This window comes from Homo sapiens, chromosome 7 (assembly GCF_000001405.40).
Source record: "Homo sapiens chromosome 7, GRCh38.p14 Primary Assembly".
NCBI classification, from domain to species: Eukaryota; Metazoa; Chordata; class Mammalia; order Primates; family Hominidae; genus Homo; species Homo sapiens.
In genome coordinates this window covers 91,708,248-91,727,569 of record NC_000007.14, presented here as the reverse complement: position 1 = coordinate 91,727,569, position 19,322 = coordinate 91,708,248, and positions in this window count along the sequence as shown.

Here is a 19,322-nt window from a genome sequence, read left to right as displayed (position 1 = left end):
AACTGTACCCCGTTTGAAGTTTAAGATGGGTTCCTCTTAATTATAGAGAAGACCAGGTAAAATTTGCTGTGCTGTCCTTTGTTCTATGATGCTCTCACCTCATTGCCAGACTTCCTTGTGCTTGCCTTCCCTCTCAGGTCCAGATATGCAAGTAGTCTTCTTTTCTTACTTATTACATAATAATTGTACATAGTTATGGGGCATATGTAATAATTTGATACATGCATACAGTATGTAATAATTAAATCAGGGTATTTATGATATCCATCAGTTCAGACATTTATCATTTCTTTATGTTGAAGACATTTCAACCCTTCTAGCTGTTCTGAAATATACAATAAATTATTGTTAACTATAGTCACCCTATTGTGCTTTTGAACACTAGAATTCATTCCTTCTATCATTTGTATACCCATTAACCAACCTCTTTTCATTACCACCCTAGCCTCAAACCCTTCCCAGCCTTTGGTAACCATCATTCTACTCTTTTTTTTTTTTTTTTTTTTTGGAGATGGGGTCTTGCTTTCTTGCCCAGGCTGCAGTGCAGTGGCATGATCTCAGCTCACTGCAACTTCTGCCTCATGGGTTCAAGTGATTCTCGTGCCTCAGCCTCCCAAGTAGCTGAGATTACAGGCACCCACCATGCCAGGCTAATTTTTGTATTTTTAGTAGAGATGGTGTTTCACCATGTTGGCCAGGCCGGTCTTTTCTGACCTCAAGTGATTCACCTGACTTGACCTCCCAAAGTGCTGGAATTACAGGCATGAGCCACTATGCCAGGCCTCATTCTACTCTCTACCGTCAGGAGATTAACTTTTTTAGCTCTCACATATGGATGAGAACATCTTATATCTGCCTTTCTGAGCTTGGCTTATTTCACTTAATATAGTAACCTCCAGCTCTATCTTTGTTGCTGCAAATAACAAGATTTCATTATTTTTTATGGCAGAATAGTATTCCCCTGTGTATGCATATCTTTTTTTTTTTTTTTTTTTTTTTTGAGGAAGGGTCTTGCTCTGTCACCCAGGCTGGAGTGCAGTGGCATGATCATGGCTCACTGCAGCCCTGACCTCCTGGGCTCAAGCCACCCTCCCACCTCAGCCTCCCAAGTAGCTGGAACTACAGGCATGTGCCATCATGCTTGGATAATTAAAAAAATTTTCTTTTGTAGAGACAAGGTCTCACTATATTGCTCTGGCTGGTCTTACACTCGTGGGCTGAAGTGATCCTCCCATCTAGGCCTCATAAGGTGCTGGGATTACAAGGCATAAACCACCAAGCTCAGCTCCACATTTTATTTATCCATTTATCTGGTGATGGACACTTAGATTGATTCCATATCTTGGATATTATAAATAGTGCTGCAGTAAGCATGGGGTGCAGGTATTCTTTTTATATACTGATTTCCTTTTCTTTGGAAAAATATTCAGTAGTGAGATTGCTGGATTATATGGTAGTTTATTAGTTTTATTTATTTATTTCTGTTTTTGAGAAATCTCCATGCTGTTTTCCATAATGGTTGGTATAATTTACATTCTCACAAGAGCGTATAAGAGTCCTCTTTTCTCTGCATCCTCACTAGCATCTGTTATTTTTTGTCTTTTTGATAAAAGCCATTGTGTGTGAGATGAGATGGTATTTCACTGAGGTTTCGCTTTGCATTTCCCTGATTAGTGATATTGAGCATTTAAAAAAATATACATCTGTTGGCCATTTTTATGTCATCTTTTGAGAAATGTCTATTTAAATCCTTTGCCTGCTTCTTAATGGGATTATTTGTTTTGTTTTTTTGTTTTTGTCATAGAGTTGTTTGAGTTCCTTGTATATTCTGAATATTAATCCTTTGTCACATGTATAGTTTGCAAATATTTTCTCCCATTCAGAAAGTTGTCTCTTTAATCTGTTGATCATTTTCTTTGCTGTGCAGAAACTTTGTAGTTTTATGTAGTCCCATTTGTCTATTTTTGTTTTTGCTCCCTGTGCTTTTAAAGTATTAGCCACAAAATCTTTACTTAGACCAATGTCCTGAGCATTTCCCCATGTCTTTTATAGTTTTGGATCTTACTTGTAAGTCTTTAATACATTTTGAGTCAATTTTTGTATATGGTGAGACATAGGGGTCCCACTTCATTTTTCTGTATATGGGTATCCAATTTTCTCATATTTGAAGAGGCTGTCCTTTTCTGAATGTGTGTTCTTGGCATCTTTGTCAAAAATCATTTGGTTGTAAATATGTGGCTTTATTTCTGGGTTTTCTATTCTGTTTCATTGGTCAATGTGTCTGGTTTTCTGCCGGTACCATGTTGTTTTGGTTACTCTAGCTTTGTAGTATATTTTGAAGTCAGATGGTGTGATGCCTCCAGCTTTGTTTGTTTTGTCGGGATTGCATTGGCATTTGGGTTCTTTTGTGGTTCCATAAGAATTTTAGGATTGATCTTTCTAATTCTGTGAAGAATGACATTGGTATTTTGATAGGGATTGCACTGAATCTGTAGATTGCTTTGGGCAATATGGTCATTTTAATGATGTTAATTCTGATCCATGAGCATGGGACGTTTTCCCATTTTTTGATGTCCTCTTCAATTTCTTTTGTCAGTGTTTTGTAGTTTTCCTTGTAAATATCTTTCACCTCCTTGGCTAAATGTGTTACTATATGCTTTTTTTGTAGCTGTTGTAAATGAGATTGCCTTCTTGATTTCCTTCTCAGCTAGGTCATTATTGGTATGTAGAAATGCTACTGATTTTTTGTACATTGATTTTGCATCCTGCAACTTTATTGAATTCATTTACTAAATCTGAGAGTTTTTTTGGTGGAGCCTTTAATTTTTTCTAGGCATAAGAGCATATTCCTATTATCTAATTTGGATGCCTTTTATTTATTTCTCTTGCCTGATTGCTCTGGCTAGGACTTCCAGTACTATGTTGAGTAGGAGTGATGAAAATGGGCACCTTTGTCTTGTTCCAGTTCTTAGAGAAAAAGTTTTCAGTGTTTCCCCATTCAGTATGATGTCAGTTTTGGGACTGTCATATGTGGCCTTTATTATGTTAAGGTATATTCGTTCTATGCCTAATTTGTTGTTAGTTATTATCATGATGGGCTGCTGAATATTTTTTTTGTTTGTTTTTGAGACGGAGTCTCGCTCTGTGCCCCAGGCTGGAGTGCAGTGGCGCGATCTCGGCTCACTGCAAGCTCCGCCTCCTGGGTTCACACCATTCTCCTGCCTCGGCCTCCCGAGTAGCTGCGACTACAGGTGCCCACCACCACAACCGGCTAATGTTTTGTATTTTTAGTAGAGATGGGGTTTCACCGTGTTAGTCAGGATGGTCTCGATCTCCTGACCTTGTGATCCGCCCACCTCAGCCTCCCAAAATGCTGGGATTACAGGCGTGAGCCACTGTGCCCGGCCAGGCTGCTGAATTTTATCACATGTACTTTTGCATCTATAGGAATGATCATATGGTTTTTGTCCTTCATTCTGTTGATGTGATATATCATATTTATTGATTTGTGTATCTTGAACATCCTTGTATCCCTGGGATAAATCCCACTTGATCATGGTGTAGTATCTTTTTGATGTGCTGTTGGATTCAGTTTGCTAGTATTTCATTGAGGATTTTTGCATCTATGTTCAGTAGTAGAGATATTGGCCTGTAGTTTTTGTTATTGTTGTCGTTGTGTCCTTGTCTGATTTCAGGATCAGGGTAATGTTAGCCTTGTAATGAGTTAGGAAAAAATCCCTCCTCTTCTATTTTTTGAAATAGTAAGAGAAGAAATGGTATGTATTTTTCTTTATAGTTTGGTAGAATTCAGCAGTAAAGCAATTCAATCCTCAGCTTTTCTTTATTGGGAGGCTCTGTATTACTGATTCAATCTTGTTACTCATTATTAGTCTGTTCAGGTTTTATGTTTTTCCATGATTCAAACTTGGTAGGTTGTATGTGTCCAGGAACTTACCATTTCCTCTAGGATTTCCAATTTGTTAGTGTACTTTAGTTGTATCTCTGTGGTATCACTTGTAATGTCTCCTTTTTCTATTCTGGTTTCATTAATTTGGGTCTTCCTTTTTTTTTCCTAGTCTAAGAAAAGTTTTGTCAGTTTTGTTTGTTTTTTTAAAAAACGACTTTTTGTTTCATTGATCCTTTATTTTTTTTAGTCTCCATTTGTTTAGTTCTGCTTGAATCTTTATTATTTCTTTTCTTCTACTAATTTTGGGTTTGATTTCTCCTGATTTTTCTAGTTCTTTGAGGTGCACCTCTAGGTTGTTTATTTCAAATCTGCTTTTTTTTTTATGTAGGCATTTATTTCTGTTAACTTCCCTGTCAGCACTGCTTTTGTTGTACCAATACCATAAGTTTTGGTATGCTGTGTTTCCACTTTCATTCATTTCAATAAATTTTTTGACTTCCTTCTTAATTTCTTCATTGGGCCATTAGTCATTCAGGAGCAAGTTGTGTAGTTTCCATGTATATATACAGCATTCAAGGTTCCTCTTGCTATTGATTTCTAGTTTTATTCCATTGTGGTCTGAAAAAATGCTTGATATGAGTTCAGTTTTTAAAACTTGTTGAGATTTGTTTTGTGGTCTAACATATGGTCTATTCTGGAGGATGTTCCATGTGCTGCTGAGGAGATATATATTCTGCAGCTGTGGGGTGAAATGTTCTGTAAGGTCCATTTGGTCTAAAGTGAAGTTTAAATCCAATGTTTCTTTGTTGATCTTCTGTCTAGATGATTTGTCTAATGCTGAGAGTTGGATGTTGAAGTCCCTAACTATTATCATATTGGGGTCTATCTCTACCTATAGATCTAATAATATTTGCTTTATATATTTGATGTTAAAGTGTTGTGTGCTTATATGTTTAGAATTGTGTTTCATAATGGTAGATATTATTTTTTGCTTCCAGATACAGGACTCCCTGAAGCATTTCTTGTAGGGCTAGTCTAGTTGTGACAAATTTCCTCAGTTTTTGTTTGTCTGGGAGACTTAATTTCTTCTTCATTTTTGAAGGATAGCTTTGCTGGTTATAATATTATTGTCTGACTTTTTTTCTTACAGTACATTGAATATCATCCCATTCTTTCTTGACCTGTGAGGTGTCAGCTGAGAAATCCACTGTTAGTGTGATATGGATTCCCTTACATGTTACCTGATACTTTTCTCTTGCTGTTTTTATAATTCTCTCTTTGTCTTTAGGTTTTGACAGTTTGACTATGAAGTACTTTCAGAAGACCTTTTGGGGTTGAATCTATTTGAGGATATTTGAGATTTTTGTATTTGGATGTCTATATCTCTTCAAGACCTGTTAAATAGGTTTTCTATGCCTTTGCCCATCTCTTCTTTTGGAACTCCCTCAATTTGAATATTTGGTCACTTTATGCTGTTTATATGTGGCTTTCTTCATTCTTTTTTATTCTTTATTCTTTTCTTTTTTTTGGGGTGGGATCTGACTTTGTTATTTCGAGGACCTGTCTTCAAGTTTAGATATTCCTTCTTCTGCTTGATCTAGTATATTGTTGAAGTTCTCAATTGTATTTTTAAATTTTATTCATTGAGTTCTTCAGTTCCAGTATTTCTCATTAGTTCTTTTTGAGCATATCTATCTCTTTGTTGAATGTTTTGTTCAGATCAGGAATTGTTTTCTCCTGATTTCTTTGTATTATTTATCTATGTTCTCTTGTTTTTCCCTGAGTTTCTTTAGTATCATTATTTTAAATTATTTTTCAGGCATTTCATAAATGTCCATTTTTTTGGTATCTGTTACTGGTTAATTATTGTGTTCCTTTGGAGGTGTCTTGTTTCCTTGCTTTTTCATGTTTTTTCATGTTTCTTGTATAAGGATAGAAGATTTCCTTGCTTTTTCATGTTTCTTATATAAGGATACAAGATGTTGATATCTGCATATCTGGTATAACAGTTGTCTCTACCAATTTTATGGATTGGTTTTCTTAGGTAAAGACTTTTTCCTGTAGATGTATCTATATTGTTAGTTGGGCATGGTGATTTGGCTTTGATTGTGGGTTGGCACAGCATTATCATTTCTATATGATTTCTTCATTTGTAATCAGTGTTAGTGGTGTTTGTCAGTTCTTCAGTGACTTAGGCTGTGATTGTTAGTAGAGGCTGTGGCAAAGCTTTGCTGGGGGTGGGGATTCCAAGTGGTTCAGTCTTGGGTACCAGTGGTGGAAGTGGCAGGTTGGGTGTGCAGATCCATGGCCCCCAGGTGATGTACCAGGTGCCAGTGGTGGTGTGTCTAGGTGGGCTGGTCCTTGGGGTCCCAGGCAGCTTGCTTGGGTGCTAGTAGTGGGCCAGGCAGGTGGGTGGGTCCTCAGGCCCCTTGGCAGTGTGTGTTGGGTCAGTGATAGTAGCGGCAGTGGTGAGCTAATACTCAGGCCCTTGAATATCATGCACAGGTGACAGTAGTGGCATGAGAGGGCTGGGTGGGCCAGTTTCCAGGACCCCATGTGGTACATGCAGGTGGGTGCCAGCAATGGTGGCAGCAGCAGGCTGAGTGGGCCAGTACTTGAGTTTTTGGGAGGCAGGCATAGTCACCAGCAATAGAAGGATGGGTCTATCTTCAGGCCACTGGACAGAGTACATGGGCAGCTGTAGTGGTGTGGTGGGCCTATTCTCAGGCTACTGTAAAGCGTGCATGGGTGCCAGTGGTGGATGGCAGGAGTTGATCTCTCAACTCTTGGATAATGTGCTGGGCCCCAGAAGTAGTGGCAGTGCTGGTGGGCAGGGTGAGTTTGCCCTCAGGCCCTCAGACGGTGTGTGTGGATTCCAGCAGTGGCAACGGGGATGAGTTGATCCCCAGGCCTCTGGATGACATGTGCAGGTACCTGTGGTGGTGGCTGGAAGTAGGGAGGGCCTGTCCTAAGTCCCCCTGATGGTGTGCACAGATGCTTGCTGTGTTAGGTGGGGTACACAGTGGTATTGTAAATGTTATTTCATTTTTGGTTTATTTGCTGAAACACTCATTTGTTCATTTGTGCTTTTGTCACCTGGATCACATATTCAGGGTGGAGATGACTCAAGATCTCCAATTTCTTTCATTCTTGATTTCTGGTAGACTTGGGTGTGGATTCCCAGGGGTGAAGATTTAATGTAAGTGCCTATCCAACTATGAATCAAATTCTGTTTCATGATTCACAACTTGAGTCATCAAATATTATTTTTGGCAAGTCAAGGACATTCTATAGATACTGAAAACAGACTTTATAGTTAATACATACTAATTGTGCTGATAGAAATGGCTTTTTTGAGAATTTATTACTTGCTTGTTAGATGTTAATGCAACTGAAAATTAGCACAGGTAGCAAATTTTGCTCAAATAAAGGTAAGAAGTTTTATATTAAATATGTACTCATATTTGTGTGTTTGTGTATATATGCTTATGCAAGTATATATGTGTATGGTTGAATCATGTGAAATTACAGCTTCTTTAGTTCAAAAATAGACAAATGTCAGCAATATCATATGTTTCATATATGTACTTTTATATATTTCAGATTTTAGCTGCCTTATGAAAGCAATAGCAAAGATGTCTAGTTTTCTTTTTTCTTAAAAAGAGGAAAAATCAAGCTAGTCACTTGGGTCCTAAAACAAAATTTCTTTTACAGTTGTCCCTCAGTATCAGTGAGAGATTTGTTTCCAGGATCCCCTATGGATATCAGAATCCATGGATGCTCAAGTCCCTTATATTAAATGGTGTATTTTCATATAAGCTATGCACATCCCACTCTATACTTTAAATCACCTTTGTATTACTTATAATACCTAGTGAAATGTAAATGGTGTGTAAGTTGTCGTTATATTGTTTAGGGAATAATGACAAGAAAAAAGTCTTTACATGTTCAATGCAGACACAACCATCATTTTCTTCCCTGAATTTTTAAAATTCATAGTTTGTTGAATACATGAATGCAGTACCCATGGATACAGAACCCATAGATACAGAGGGCCAAGTATATATATAAAATACTTTAATCTTGGGGAATGGTGGACAAAATACTGTAATAAGAATGTCCTGTCTCACAGAAAATTTAGAATGCTTTTGTCCTTCCTCTAGTTAATTCTTTCAAGGTCGGGGCATATCTATCCATGAAGGCTGACATCACCATTCTAGTCCACAGTGTGAGATTTTTCCCACTGAACTCTGATTTTTCCTTTGCTACCATTATTTTAGTAACTCTGTATTACCTTGTTTTTAAATAAATTATAAACTCCTTGGGAACAGAGACCATACCTTGTTTCTCCACAGCCCTGCAGGATCTGTTGATTTGACTGAGCATTTGACTTGAAAAGCATTCCAAATAGGATTTAATTATCTAAGTTGGTGGAGTGATAAGGAATGACAGAAGACAAAAAATGATGCCTCTTGGGAAATCAATCAGAGATCATCCTGCTTTCAGGAATTTACAGTCTCCATTGGGAGACAATGCAGAAACTCATGAGGGGTTTAGTGAGGTGAAATAATCTGTGTTGTAGGTTCTCTTAATTGTTCTATTTCTAGCAGAATGGTAAGAGGAAGCTTAATCTGCGATATTGGATGTTCTCTGGCTAAATTGAGTGCATCAATCTTCATCGATTGATTTTAGTATGGCACTGATAAATGTTTAACTGGTAAATAATAAAAGTCTGCCAGTTACCTAGTTTGTGCACTTATTGATAATAGGGTGGCATTTTCTTTGTTAGATGAACTTGAAGATATATGTAAATAATCTACAAATATAAAATCCAATTTTTAATATGTTCTAACATTTACCAACACTGTCTTCAACAAAATACCCCCATATCTCAAAAGTCAATGACAATTTTTATCACAGCTTGGGAAAGACCTTCAGGTAATTAATGACAATATTTCAGCTAACAATTTTTTCTTCTTTTGTCCTTTCTATTTTTGTAAGACAACTTAGTGCCCTGAAGAAGAAGAAGGATAATGGTTTGCAATCAATGCTCATGGACAAGACACCTAATCTGAACTTAACCAAAAAGTCAATATTTAACTGTACCTTATCAGTGTGGAAATGTCAAGCATAGCAAGAGACAACGAACAAATTTCCAAGTGATTTCTCTTTTTTTTATGTTTTGGTGTTCACAGCTATGTGGAAGTGTTTCAACATCAGATAAGACAAAATGGCCTTTGGGAGAAAAAAAAAGACAGCAAATTACAATACTTGCACTTGCCGAAACCACAGTTTATGAGAGGAAAGCAGACACTGGATATGCATTCTATTCTCTCCTAGCACATTCCCTGGTTCACCTTCCTGCCTGTGTGATGCTAGCCCTTGATTGTTTCCCACAGCTGGCAGCCTTTAAGAGACAGATATGTTGAAATGTCTCCTTGCTGAGTAAAGTCACTATCTGTTGCCACCCAACACAATTGACACAAATTATTTGCACTCTAAATTTCCATGCCTAGGAGTAGATACATAAAGCATGACTAGGAGGACTGTGGGTCTGCAAAACAGGAGCTCCACCTGAATTTCCTGGAAGTTATGGCCAGTTAATGTAGAGAAAGAGGTTTTCAAAATTGTAAGAACTTCAGGACCTTTGTCAGAATTCCATCTCGCTCCACAGGACTCCAGCTAACCTCACCCACATAACTGGTGTTGAAAGTTTTATTTTGTTAGAAAATAATGTTACACTGGAAAAACCTATGCTGGTACTCACATTTAATGGGATGTTGGACTGTCAGCATTACAATACAAGAAAGAAAGGTGATGACTTAAATGGATAAATATGCATTGTTGCTAACTGACTTTTTAAGGAATTGTGGGTGGGCTTGACATAACAGGGAACATGAACATGGAGATCTGAAAAATACTGATAGAGAAAACATCATTTCATCTGGGACTACAACTAGAAAGGACCTTTTTGAACTAGATTCACAGAACAGTGATTCATGGAGTTCACCAAGGGTAGTGACCAACCATTTCAAACTATGTATATAGTAAAAATAATGTAGGTGCTTGTTAAAAATGCAGATTCCCATGGACTTCCCCCTGGAGATTCTGATTCAGGGTGTTAAAATAATTCATGCGGAGGCCATTACACTGGGGTGGCTCCATTGCTCTGGGTTTCTACTAAACAAACTGAAACCCAACTCAGTGTTAACAGGAAAACAACCAATCAGAAACTGCCAACTGACCTCTAGTGGGACTTTCTACTGGAATCATCCAAATAAGGCTACTGATCCACTTTAACCAATAAAAAAAATGATGAGTTCATGTCCTTTGTAGGGACATGGATGAAATTGGAAATCATCATTCTCAGTAAACTATCGCAAGAACAAAAAACCAAACACCGCATATTCTCACTCATAGGTGGGAATTGAACAATGAGATCACATGGACACAGGAAGGGGAATATCACACTCTGGGGACTGTGGTGGGGTGTGGGGAGGGGGGAGGGATAGCATTGGGAGATATACCTAATGCTAGATGATGAGTTAGTGGGTGCAGCGCACCAGCATGGCACATGTATACATATGTAACTAACCTGCACATTGTGCACACGTACCCTAAAACTTAAAGTATAATAAAAAAAATATTTTATTTGCCTTGCTTCATGCATTCACCCTAAAAAGCTTTCTCCTCCTGCCCCTTTGGTGGAGCCCTTTAACTGCTTGTGGTCTGGAGCTGCCCAATTCAGGAATCACTAAATGCTCAAATAAATTGTAATATTTTAATGTGCCTCAGTTTATCTTTTTTTTTTTTTTTTTTTTTGAGACAGGGTCTCACTCTGTCACCCAGGCTGGAGTGCAGTGATGCAATCACAGCTCACTGCAGCCTCAACCTCCCAGGCTCAGGCAATCCTCCTACCTCAGTCTCCCAAGTAACAGGGACCACAAGCATGGGCCACACACCTGGCTATTAAAAAAATATATTTGTAGAGACGGGATCTCCCTATGTTGCTCAGGCTGGTCTTCAACTTCTGGGCTCCAGCAGTCCTCTCACTTTGGCCTCCCAAAGTGGGATTACAGGTGTGAGCTACCGCTCCTGGCCTCAATTTGTCTTTCAACATGGAAGACTGTGGTGGGAACTGGAAACCTGTTTTTTTTTTTTTTTTAACAAGATCTTTGGAGATTTTATCATCAGGCAGATTTGGAAACATTGCTGTAGGTACTCAGAAATGGGATGAATGAATGAAAGGAAAAAAACCATAATGAGGATGCCAGAAAGGCAGTCCCAGCTCCTGATTTTGCTGCATGCTCCAACAGTGTGCCAGGGCTCCTGACCTTGTACAGTTAACTCCCAGATGTGGGAGAAATGGCCTTCAGGAGCAGCTGATAAAGGTTAGGTTTTCAAATGTCACATGGAATAATGCTCTTTCCCCTTTGTCCTGTGTTGGAATGTCATAGTGACATAAAAAGAAAGACTATGTCCTTAAGTTAAATGAATGGTACGTGTTAAAAACAGAAAGAACCCTGTCTAAGTCTCCCTTAGGAAGAAATCTTTTTCTGTGAGTCTTTCCTGCCACCAGACATAAACCCAGCAGGTGTAAACCATCAACCCTCCTTAATCTCTCCATAAAGGCACAAAGGAGAAATCGTGTGGAGAGAAGTATTCTGATCTCTATGTGGACAGTGCAACTAATAATTTCTGTACTATTTGACAACAACCTAGTTCTTTCTATTCTGTGTTTTTTTTTTTTAACTTGTTTGGTCTCCAGGGGAACTGTTTAATACACTCTATGGCAAACGGGAAGGATATCCCTCCATACAATGTATAATACCTTGTTACAATAAAAGCCTCAGAAATATGGGAGCTGAGGGGATGGACTGGAATGAGAGAAGGGTAGAATCCATACCTTTATGCCACTGTAAGATCCTCTAGTAGAGTATGGGCACATGATGGGTTATGGGACTCGACTGAGAAGACCCAATCACCCCTTTTGTTCAAATTTTATGGCTGCCCATCATCATCATGGGGCTAATTTAGAGTCATCTAATGTCTGTAGAGGAGATAATAGACAACACAGGACAAAAAGAGCCCCAGTGAATTTGTTGGAACTTGTCATGCTCTAATTTTGTGACTTACTTAAAGATTTAATGAGTATTGTGGCAGGAAAGTCAACAAACCAGAATTAAGGAAATTTGCAGGATGGTCCACTAGTGGTTCCTAAACTTTGCTGCATATTAAAAGCACCTGGGGAAGTATAAAATACACAAGTACTCAGGCCTCTCCCCATACCAATTAAGTCAAAATTTTGGGGGGTGTGATCCAGGCCACACTTTTTTTTTTTTTTTTTACATTTCCAAGGTAACTCCAATGTACTACCCAATTTGAGAATCGTTGATTTTCTAGACTGATCATATACTCTGGATCTTTTCTAGTTGTATGTTATTCCTTTTACCCGAAATGTTCCTTCATCCTTTCTTCAGGCGAAGACCTGCTAATCTGTAAAAAATTCACCACAAATATACCTTCCATTAATAGAGTTAGTTCATTCATTCAATAAATATTTGCTGAAAGTTGGTGTTGCTTCCTTCTCCATGGCACTAGCACTCAGTAACAACACTTCATTAAATTAATTATTTGTTATGATTACTTTTTCCTCTACAGCCTCTGACTTATTGGAAGCCAGGATTGTAAATTATTCATCTTTGACTTTTGTAGTACATTTCCTTTCTTTTCCCCCATTTTCCCACATCCCTGGCTCGGGAATCCTTGTCTCACAAACATTCAATGTTGAATAATTATGAGTTTTAAAATTTTATTATTTTTATTTGTACACCTTTATGGGGTATATGTGAAATTTTGTTACATATATATAATGCATACTGATCAAGTCAGGGTATTTAGGGTGTTCATCACCCAAGTAGAAAACATTTTTATTAAGTAGAATCACCCTACTCAGCTATCAAACATTGCTTTTATTCCTACAATCTTACTCTATATTTGTACCCTGTACCCTTTAACCCACTTCTCTTCATCCTTCCCCTTTACCCCGAATCACTCTTCCTAGCATCTGTTATCTATTTTTCCACTCTCTATCCCCATGTTATCAAATTTTTTAGATCCTACATATAAGCAAGAACATGTGATATTTAGCTTTTTGGATAAGTATTTATGTGTATAAATATATGTGATATTTATCTATTTCATTTAAGATAATTACCATCAGTTCCATTCTTGTTACTGCAAACGACATGATTTCATTTTTTTATGACTGAATAGTACTCCATGGTGTATAAATACCACATTTTCTTTATTCATTCATCCACTGAGGGACATTTAAATTGATTCCATGCCTTTCTATTATGAATAGTGCTATAATAAACTCGTGAGTGCAGGTACCCTTTGATACCCTTTTCCTTTGAGTAGATAACTAGTAGTGGGATTGTTGGATGTAGTGGTAATTCTATTTTCAGTATTTTGAGAACTCTCCATACTGTTTTTCATAGTGGCTGGACTAGTTTACATTCCCACCAACTGTGTATAAGAGTTCCCTTTTCTCTGCATCCTCACCAACATCTGTTATTTTTTGTCTTTTTAGTAATAGACATTCTGACTGGAGTAGGATGATGTCTTCTTGTGGTGTTGACTTACATTTCCCTAATGATTACTGATGTTGAGCATTTTTTAATATACCTGTTGGCCATATGTCTTCTTTTGAGAGATGTCTATTCATGTCCTTTGCCCACTTTTTAATGGGATTGTTTTTTCCTGCTGTTTTGAGTTCCTTGTATATTTTGGGTATTAGTCACCTGTCTGATAAATAGTTTGCAAATATTTTCTCTCATTCAACAGGTTGTCTGTTCACTCTGTTGATTATTTCTTTTGCTGTGCAGAAGCATTTTAGTTTAATTAAGCCCCATTTGTCATTTTTGTTTTTGTTGCCTGTGCTTTTAAGGTCTTAGTCATGATTTTTTTGCCTAGATCAATGTCCAGGAGAGTTTTCCCCTAGGTTTTTCTGCTAGCAGTTTTATAGTTTGGGGTCTTATGTTTAAGCCTTTAATCCATTTTGAGTTGTTTTTTGTATATAGTGAGAGATATAGCGGTCCAGTTTTATTCTTCTGAATGTGGCTATCGAACTTTCTCAGCACCATTTATTGAACAAGATTTCCTTTCCCCAGTGTAATTTCTTGTCAGCTTTGTCAAAGATCAGTTGTTTGAACATATGTGGGTTTATTTCTGAGTTCTTTATTCTGCTCCATTGGTCCATATGTCTAATTTTATACCAATACCAGGCTGTTTTAGTTACCATAGCCTTATAGTATATTTTGAAGTCAGGTAATGTGATGCCTTCAAATTTATTCTTTTTGCTTAGGATTGCTTTGGCTATTCAGCATTTTTTTTTTCCTTTTGTTCCACATGAATCTTAGGAGTCTAGTCACATTCTAATTCTGTGAAGAATGGCATTGGTATTTTGATAGGGATTGCACTGAATCTGTAGATTGCTTTGGGCAATATGGTCATTTTAAATAATATTAATTCCTTCAATTCATGAACATGGGATTTTTTGTTTTGTTTTGTTTTTTGGTGTCCTCTTTGATTTCTTTTTTTTTCTTTTGTTTTTCTTTTTTTAACTCCTGATTTGACACCCAGGCTGGATTGCAGTGGCACAATCACTGCTGACTGCAGCTTTGACCTCCTGGGTTTAGGCAGTCCTTCTGCCCAAGCCTCCCAAGTAGCTTGTATGCCACCATGCTCAGCTAATTAAGAATTGTTTTTGTAGAGACAGGGTCTTGCTATGTTGCCCAGGATAGTCTTGAACTCCTAGGCTCAAGTGATCCTCCTTCCTCTGCCTCTAAAAGTGCTGAGATTACAGGCATGAGCCACTGTGTCTGGTCTTAAATTTCTTTCATCATTGTTTTGTAGTTTTCCTTGCAGAGATTGCTCACCTCCTTGGTTAAATTTATTACTAGGTATTTTTTTTGTAGCTATTGTAAATGGAATTGCCTTGTCGATTTTCTTCTCAGCTAGATCATTATTGGTGTATAGAAATGCTACTGATTTTTGTACATTAATCTTGTATACTGCAACTTAATGAATTCATTTACCAAATCTGAGCTTTTTGGTGGAGTCTTAAGGTTTTTCTAGGTATCAGATCGTATCATCAGCACAGAGGGATAATTTGATTTCCTATTTTCTAATTTGGATGCCTTTTATTCATTTATCTTGCCTGATTGCTCTGGCTATGGCTTCCAATACTATCATAAATAAGAATAATGAAAGTGGACATCCTTGTCTCCTCCCTCCTTCCCTCCCTTCCTTCCTTCCTTCTTTCCTTCCTTCTTCCTCCTTCCCATCTCTTTCTTCCTTCCTTCTTTCCTTCCTTCTTCCTCCTTCCAGCCTCCCTCTTTTTTGTCTGCCTTTCTTTCTTTCTTTCTTTCTTTCTTTCTTTCTTTCTTTCTTTCTTTCTTTCTTTCTTTCTTTCTTTCTTTCTCTTTCTTTCTTTCTTTCTTTCTTTCTTTCCTTCCTTCCTTCCTTCCTTCCTTCCTCTCTCTCTCTTTCTTTCTTTCTTTCTTTCTTTCTTTCTTTCTTTCTTTCTTTCTCTCTTTCTCTTTTCTTTTCTTTTTTTCTTTTTTCTCCTTATCTGTTTTTGGTATTAGTGTGATGCTAGCCTCATAGAATGAATTAGGGAGAATTCTCTCCTCTTTGGCTTTTCTGGAATAGATTCATGAGGGTTGATATTAGTTCTTCTTTGCACATTTGGGTGAATTTGGCTGTGGATCCATCCTGTCTTGGGATTTTCTCTATTGGAAGCCTTTTTTGTTACTGATTCAATAATAATACTCATTATTGGTCTGTTTAGGTTTTACATGTCTTCCTGATTCAATCTTGGTAGATTGTATGTTTCCAGGAATTTATTCTTTTTTTTTTCTAGGTTTTTCAGTTTGTCAGTGTATAGTTGTTTATCATAGTCCGTGATGATTTTTTAAAATTTCTGTCATATCAATTGTACTGCCCCTTTTTTGTGTCTTATTTTGTTTATTTGGGTCTTCTTTCTCCTTTTCTTGATTAATCTAGCTAGTGGTTTATCAATTGTTTTTATCTTTTTGAAGGGCCAACTTTTCATTTCATTGATCCTTTTTTTCAAGTCTCTATTTCATTTAGTTCTTCCCTGGTCTTAGTTATTTTGAGCTTGGTTTGTTTTTACTTTTCTAGTTTCTTGAGGTGTCTTGTTAGATTGTTAATTTGTCATCTTTCTACTTTTTTGATGTAGGCATTTATTACTATAAACTTTCCTTTTAGCACTGCTTTTGCTGTATTCCGCAGGTTTCAGTATGTTGTATTTGTATTTTCATTTGTTTCAAGAATTTTTTAAAATTTGCATCTTAATTTATTCTTTGACCCAGAGGTTATTCAGAAGCATGTTGTTTAATTTCCGTGTATTTATATAGTTTCCAAAGTTCCTCTGGGGGTTAATTTCTAGTTTTACTCCATTGTGACCTGGGAAGATACTTGATATGAGTTTGATTTTTAAAAATATGTTGAGACTTGTTTTGTGGCCTAACATATGGTCTATTTTGGTAAAGTTCCATGTGCTGATGAGAAGAATGTGTATTCTGCAGCTGTTGGATAGAATGCTCTGAAAATGTCTGTTAGGTTCATTTGTTCTAAAGTCTAGTTTAAATTAAATTTTTTTGTTGATTTTCTGTCTAGGTAATCTGCCTAATGCTGAAAATGGGGTGTTGAAGTCCCTCACTATTATATTGCAGTCTATATCTGTATATAGATCTAGTAATATTTGTTTTATGAAACTAGTTCTCCAGTGTTGAGCACATATATATTTAGAATTGTTATATATTCTTGCTGCATTGATCCTTTTATCTTCATGTAATTCCCTTCTTTTTGTTTTCTCTTGTTCTTGACTTAAAGTCAGCCTTGCTTGATATAAGTCCAGATATCCCTGCTTGCTTTTGGTTTTTGTTTGCATGGAACATCTTTTCCCATTCCTTTACTTTCTCAGTCTATATGTGTCTTTACTGGTAAGGTGGGCTTTTCAGTATCTATGCTGATAGGCATATATGCTGGTAAGCAGAATATGGTTGCATCATTTAAAAAAGTCTATTCAGCTATTCTATGTCTTTTATGTGGATAATTTAATCTGCTTATGTTCAAGGTTATTGTTGATATGTGCAGCTTTCTTCCTGTCATGTTGTTAGCTGTTTTCTGGTTGTTTTATATATTCTTTGCTCTTTTGTTTTTCTCTTATTGTTTGTCATCGTGGTCTGGTGAATTTCTATAGTGATACCGTTTGAGTCCTTTCTCTTTCCCTTCTTTGTGTGACTGCTTTACTAGTGAGTTTTATAATTTTGTGTGTTTTCATGATGGTAAATGTCATCCTTTCACTTCCAGGTTTAGGATTCCCTTGAGCATTTCTCATAGAAACAGTTTAGTGATAATCAATTTCCTCAGCATTTGCTTGTCTGATAAATAAAGGATCTAGGAATAGAAATACCATTTGATCCAGCCATCCCATTACTGGGTATATACCCAAAGGATTATAAATCATGCTGCTATAAAGACACATGCACACGTATGTTTATTGCGGCACTATTCACAATAGCAAAGACTTGGAACCAACCCAAATGTCTATCAATGATAGACTGGATTAAGAAAATGTGGCACATATACACCACGGAATACTATGCAGCCATAAAAAATGATGAGTTCATGTCCTTTGCAGGGACATGGATGAAGCTGGAAACCATCATTCGCAGCAAACTATCGCAAGGACAAAAAACCAAACACCGCATCTTCTCACTCATAATTGGGAATTGAACAATGAGAACACTTGGACACAGGAAGGGGAATGTCACACACCGGGGCCTGTTGTGGGGTGGGGGAAGGGGGGAGGGATAGCATTAGGAGATGTATCTAATGTAAATGATGAGTTAATGGGTGCAGCACACCAACAAGGCACATGTATACATATATAACAAATCTGCATGTTGTGTACGTGTACCCTAGAACTTAAAGTAAAATTAAAAAAAAAGAAATTTTTTAAATAGAAAAAAAGTCCTTGAAAATATAATATTTCTAATATACCACATTTTATATCCTTATTCATGAACAGAATAACCAGAATCCCAACCCTGCATGAATAATTTAAATTACCCAAAGTAAATAGGTGTCACTCTATAATAAAATGCACCAAAAACTTACAGATATTGAACATTAATTTGTATCAAATGTACATTTTATAGTATTACTGATAATGTAATAAAACTCTATCAAACAATTAAAAAATTGTATTTCTCCTTCACTTATGAAGGATTACTTGGTGGATATAGTATTCTTGGCTGCCAGTTTTTCTTTTCTTTCAGCACTTTGAATATACTATCCCATTCTCTTCTGGTCTGTGAGGTTTCTGCTGAGAAATTTGCTGTTAGTCTCATAGGGATTCCCTTATAGCTGTCTAGGTGTTTTCTCTTCCTGTTTTAAGATTTGCTTTTTATTTGGACAGTCTGATTATAATGTGCTTTGGAGAAGGCCTTGTTGCATTATATCTTCCTTGAGATCATTTAGCCTCCTTTATCTGAATATCTAAATTTCTTGCTAGACTTGGAAAGTTTTCATCTATTCTTTTGGTAAATATATTTTGTAATCCTTTCATTGTTCCTACTTATTCTTGGGACACTCATAATTCATATATTTCATCACTTTATGTTGTACCAAATGTCATAAAGGCCTTGCTCATTTTTAAAATATTTGTTTCTTTATTTTTGTCCGACTGGGTTATTTAAAAAAAACCTGTGCTCAAGTTCTAAGATTCTTTCTTCTGCATAATCTAGTCTGTTGTTTAAGCTTTCAAATGTATTTTATATTTCTTCTTGAATTTCTATTTAGTTCTGTTTAAAAAAAGTCGATACCTATCTTTTTGATAATTTTCTCATTTAATCCTGAATTGTTTTCCTGATTTCTTTGCATTGTTTTTCAAAATTCTCTTTCGTTTCACTGACTTCTTGAAAATTAATATTTTGAATTCTTTATCTAGAATTTTGAAGTTTTATTTTTAATTGAGATCAATTTCTGGACAATTATTATGTTCCCTTTCAGGTATCATATTTCCTTGCTTTTTCATGTGTCCTGTATCCTTACATTGATATTTGCACATCTGCTGTAACAGTCACTTCTGTTTTTCTATTTGCTTTCATAGCGGAAGACTTTTTCCTGAAGATGAATCTGTGGTGTTGGTAAGGCAAGGCGCATCGGCTTTGATTCTGGGTATGTGCAATACTGTATTCTCTGTATGATTTCCTTGACTATCAACAGTGTTAGTGCTTTCTTGCATTTACATGGAGAGTTAGGGTGCATTTATTAGTGGAGGCTTTGATGAAGTTGTGCTGGAGACTGGTAAGCCATG